Source organism: Homo sapiens, chromosome 14 (assembly GCF_000001405.40).
Source record: "Homo sapiens chromosome 14, GRCh38.p14 Primary Assembly".
NCBI classification, from domain to species: domain Eukaryota; kingdom Metazoa; phylum Chordata; class Mammalia; order Primates; family Hominidae; genus Homo; species Homo sapiens.
Genome location: NC_000014.9, coordinates 89122208 through 89126188, shown reverse-complemented (window position 1 = coordinate 89126188; position 3981 = coordinate 89122208). Strand labels below are relative to the sequence as shown.

Here is a 3981-nt window from a genome sequence, read left to right as displayed (position 1 = left end):
TCTAGGAAATGTAAAGGTAAATGGGATTTGGTCCTTACTCCTGAGGAACCCCCAATCTTGGAGGTGCTAAAGTAGGGAATCCAGAACAGCATTTCACCAGAAGATTTTCTTGGATTGTAAAGGATGCTCAGCCTAGTGATGGCTAAGGGGCTCATCCGAAGGAAAAGGACAAGGATGCAGGGAGCAGGTGCCTTGGAAAGAAAGGCCACTGTGCAGAGGAGGGAGGGGAGAGTCTGACTGGCTCTGAACACATCCTTGCAGGTGGCCCAGTTCTGCCTCATCTGTCTCCAGTCGCCTGCATGGGATCCCTCAGGGCTGGCCAGCAGGGAGCTGGTTGTGCATCAGGATAAGCATTTGCTGCCTTGCTGGGGTTTTGCTAGTATTAGACAAATGCAGAAGGCAGACAGTTGGGAGGGGGAAACTAGGTAGGTTGATGGTGGTCACAGGATCCTTTCACTGTGCAATGAGTGGTGTTGAGTTAGATGCCCTCATCCCAAGGAGCATAGAGCATTGACCCAGGGACATGAGCTATCAAAAGGCTGCCCGGGCTCCAATCCCAGCATCTCCACTTACCATCCATGTGATCTTGGGCAAATTAATAAGTCTCTTTGCCTCGTTTTCTCATCTGTTAAGTGGGAATAATACGATTACTGAGCCTCCTAGGGTTTGTATGAGCATTAAATGAGCTAATGCATACTCAATACTTATTCCTTGAATGTTGAATGAATAGGTCTATGTCTCCCTCCAGACAAAGTGTGTATACCATGATTCATCTTTGTGACTCTAGCAGCCAAACATACATTGTGCCAGAACTTTCAGCTACAAGCATTTTCCTCCACCTTCCTCTTTTGGGAGAAAGACGTGAGTAATAAAATGTGCAGATATGTGGGATTTGGAAACGAGAGGAAACTTCCTATGGACTGCCAGTCAGTAGAAGTTCACCTAATCTTGTCTCTTCTCAGGCAACAGTTCTGTGGAGAGCATCATAATTCAGAGGACATGCAGGAACCTCAGCCAACAACACAAACTTCAGGACCAAGCATGATGTTAACATTTTCAATAGCAGGGCTTGTAGGGGGCAGGAAGAAGAGGAGACAAGAAGTCAAGACTCCTAATCTCAGCTCCGCATGAATGGAAAAACCTCTTTATGCTTCTGTTATTTTCTTCCATAAAAGTAGATTGGGGAAAGAGTATAGTTGTTCTTCAAAAAGTAAATATAAAACTACCATATAACCTAGCAATTCCACTCCTAGGTATATACACAAAAGAATTGAAAACTGATACTTAAACAAACATATATACATGCATGTTCATAGCAGCACTATTCCCAATAGCCAAAAGGTGGAAACAACCCAAACATCCCTCAGTGGACAAATGGATAAGCAAATTGTGGTACTTCCTTGCAATTGAATATTATTCAGGTATTGAAAGCAATGAAGTACTGATGCATGCTACAACCTGGATGGACCTCAAAAACATTATGCTAAATGAAAGAAGCATAGGTCACATGGTACATGATTCCAATTATATGAAATGTCCAGAATAGATAAGTTCATAGAGACAGAAAGTGTGTCGGTGGTTGCCACAGGTTGGGGGAGAAAGAAATGGGGAGTAACTGCTTACTGGGATAGTTTTCTCTTGGGTGATAGAAGTATTTGGAACTTGATAGAGGTGGTGGTCACACAACATTGTGAATGTACTGAAGGCCACTAGATTGTTCACGTTAAAATCATTCATTTTATGCTATGTGAATTTCACTTCAACAACAAATAAAAATTTTAAAAAGTAAATTATAGGGTAGGGAGAAAATAGGTTATATACAATTGGAGGGATGTCGGATTTCAGAAATGACTTTCCTTTCACCACGAGATAGCCTCTCCCATGTGGATGATGAGCTTGGATCTTTCTGCCTAGACTCATCCTCTGAATCAAGGTGTCTAAGGATTTAATCTGCCAGACCCCAGGGTGCAGAGGGTGGAGCCTCAAGGCTAGTGCAGGAGAAAGGTACCAATGCCCCAGGCCAGACGTTACAGTCTCTCTGCCTTATGGAATTTCCTGGACCCTGTCCCAGTACTTCAGACCCCTGGCCTCAAGAGGTTTTAGTGTCATAGTGTTGTGTTGTCAAGTCCTTTGGCTCAGCCCTAACTTAAGAGCATGTTTCACTTCCTCATTAGTTTACAAATAGGGACTTATTTGTAGGTGTACCTGTAAAGAGAAGGTAAAATAAAAACAAAATTTAAAATAAAATCCAAATATTTATTTCTATAATTTGTTGTATTTTATATAATATTAATACATGTATTTTATTTTATAAGAAATAAAATATACAAAAAAGCAAATAAAAACTTCTGTCACATTGCAATCTTCCCACTGAGCAGTTTGTATTCATAAGCATTATTCTCACTGTAGGTCGAGTCACTGCAAGGGTTGTAGGGAGCAGAAGGGATTTCCAAGAAGTAAGAGTTGGCCCCCAGGCCCCTCCCTATCACCTGCTAACTGAAAATTGGTGGAACCATTTCTAACCCCTAGAGCGGTGGGCTCAACCTTAGCACACATGGGAAGCACCCAGGGAGTTTTAAAAAATACTAATGCCCAGGTGACTCGAACGTGTAGTCAAGGCTGCGAACTACTGGTCCCAGGCACCTCGGCCACTCTCAGGCTCAGCCTCAGGCTCAGGCAGATGTTCGTCATCATAGAAGGTAAGTGAGGAAGGGACCCTTATTTTGAAAGCGGTCTGTGTGGCCCATCTGTCTGTGTTGCACGGATTCCTAGAGTCCCTCTGCAGAGAAGACCTCGTCATGTGACCGAGATCAGTTGGGCACATGGCTGCTACGTCACTTTGCTCATGGAGGCTTCTATGAATAATGAAAAAAGGATGGAAAAAATGGAAATAGTTGTTCTCTCAAAAGGCTGAGAATATAGGGAGAGTTTTAACATTTTGAAATCATTTAAAGCTGATTCTAATACATTACAATGTAAATATCCACCACTGCCCTTCTTTTTAGGGAGTTCTTTTAGAGACTGTGAAATGTAAGTCAGTGCTGTCATCCAAGCTGGCTCTCCTCAGCTGACTTCTTTTCTAAAACCACTGCCATGGCAAACTTGTGGAGAGGAACACAGGGAACATGTTGGCGGGGTGGGGGCAGGTCTCTGGCTGCGGCTCCTCCACTTTGGCCATTGAGGAGACCTGGTGGGAGAAGGAGGGAAGATCAACCTGGCACATGGGTCTTTATTAGGGGAGTGAAAATGAGGTGCTGTAGGTTACAGATCGTCTGGGTCACAGTAATGTGTTCTGGTCATGGCGCTCCTTAGAAAAGACACAGGACAAATCACATGATGTGCCTGGCTTTCCTGTCCTCCTCTGAAAAATGGGGGAGGACATGGGGGAGCAGTAGAAATAGATGACACCTGAGGCTTCATTTAGTTCAGATATTCTGGGAAATGTTAAGTTTGAAAAGTAGGTCACTAACTGGCTGCTGGGAGGGAGAAGAAAGGAGACCGCTATTGAGGGAATAGTGTTCAAGAGGGTTTGGAGAAGGAACAGAGGAGGTCAGGTGGCACTTAGGGACACAAGGGTGCCTCTGGACAGAAGTGAGCCTGGACACTTGGCCAGCTCTGTCCCCAGTTTTCCCCATCACCTAGAGGCTGCCACTCAGATTGTTAGGCAGAAAATGGTGGCAGGAGCAGCTTCCTCTTCCCGGCTTCCCAGGGACATTGCTGTTGCCATGGTGATGGCTAGGCAGTGTGATGTGTGGCTTTGTGCTGTGACCACCTCCTTCTTTGTTCTCATTCGAACTATAGGCACTACCTCTGGAGCTATAAGAAAGGGCCCAAGTAGGGAATTTCTGTGCTTATTTGACTCACCTCAGGAGCAAATCTCTTTCTCCCCTACCATTGCTTTTACCCTGCAAGGGATTCAGTTTCCTGATTATAAGTTCTGAGGCACTTGGATCCTATTTCTTGAGGGAGGCAGAGACCAAA

General features: G+C 44.4%; 1 long non-coding RNA gene across 1 annotated transcript; it reads left to right on the top strand.

Moving 5' to 3' along the window:
- Nucleotides 1-400: 400 nt before the first annotated feature.
- LOC124903357 (uncharacterized) lies at nucleotides 401-2362 on the top strand. The gene is made up of 2 exons (XR_007064299.1): nucleotides 401-861; nucleotides 963-2362. It is a non-coding gene; the product is annotated as an uncharacterized LOC124903357 (long non-coding RNA).
- The last annotated feature ends 1619 nt before the right edge of the window (nucleotides 2363-3981 follow it).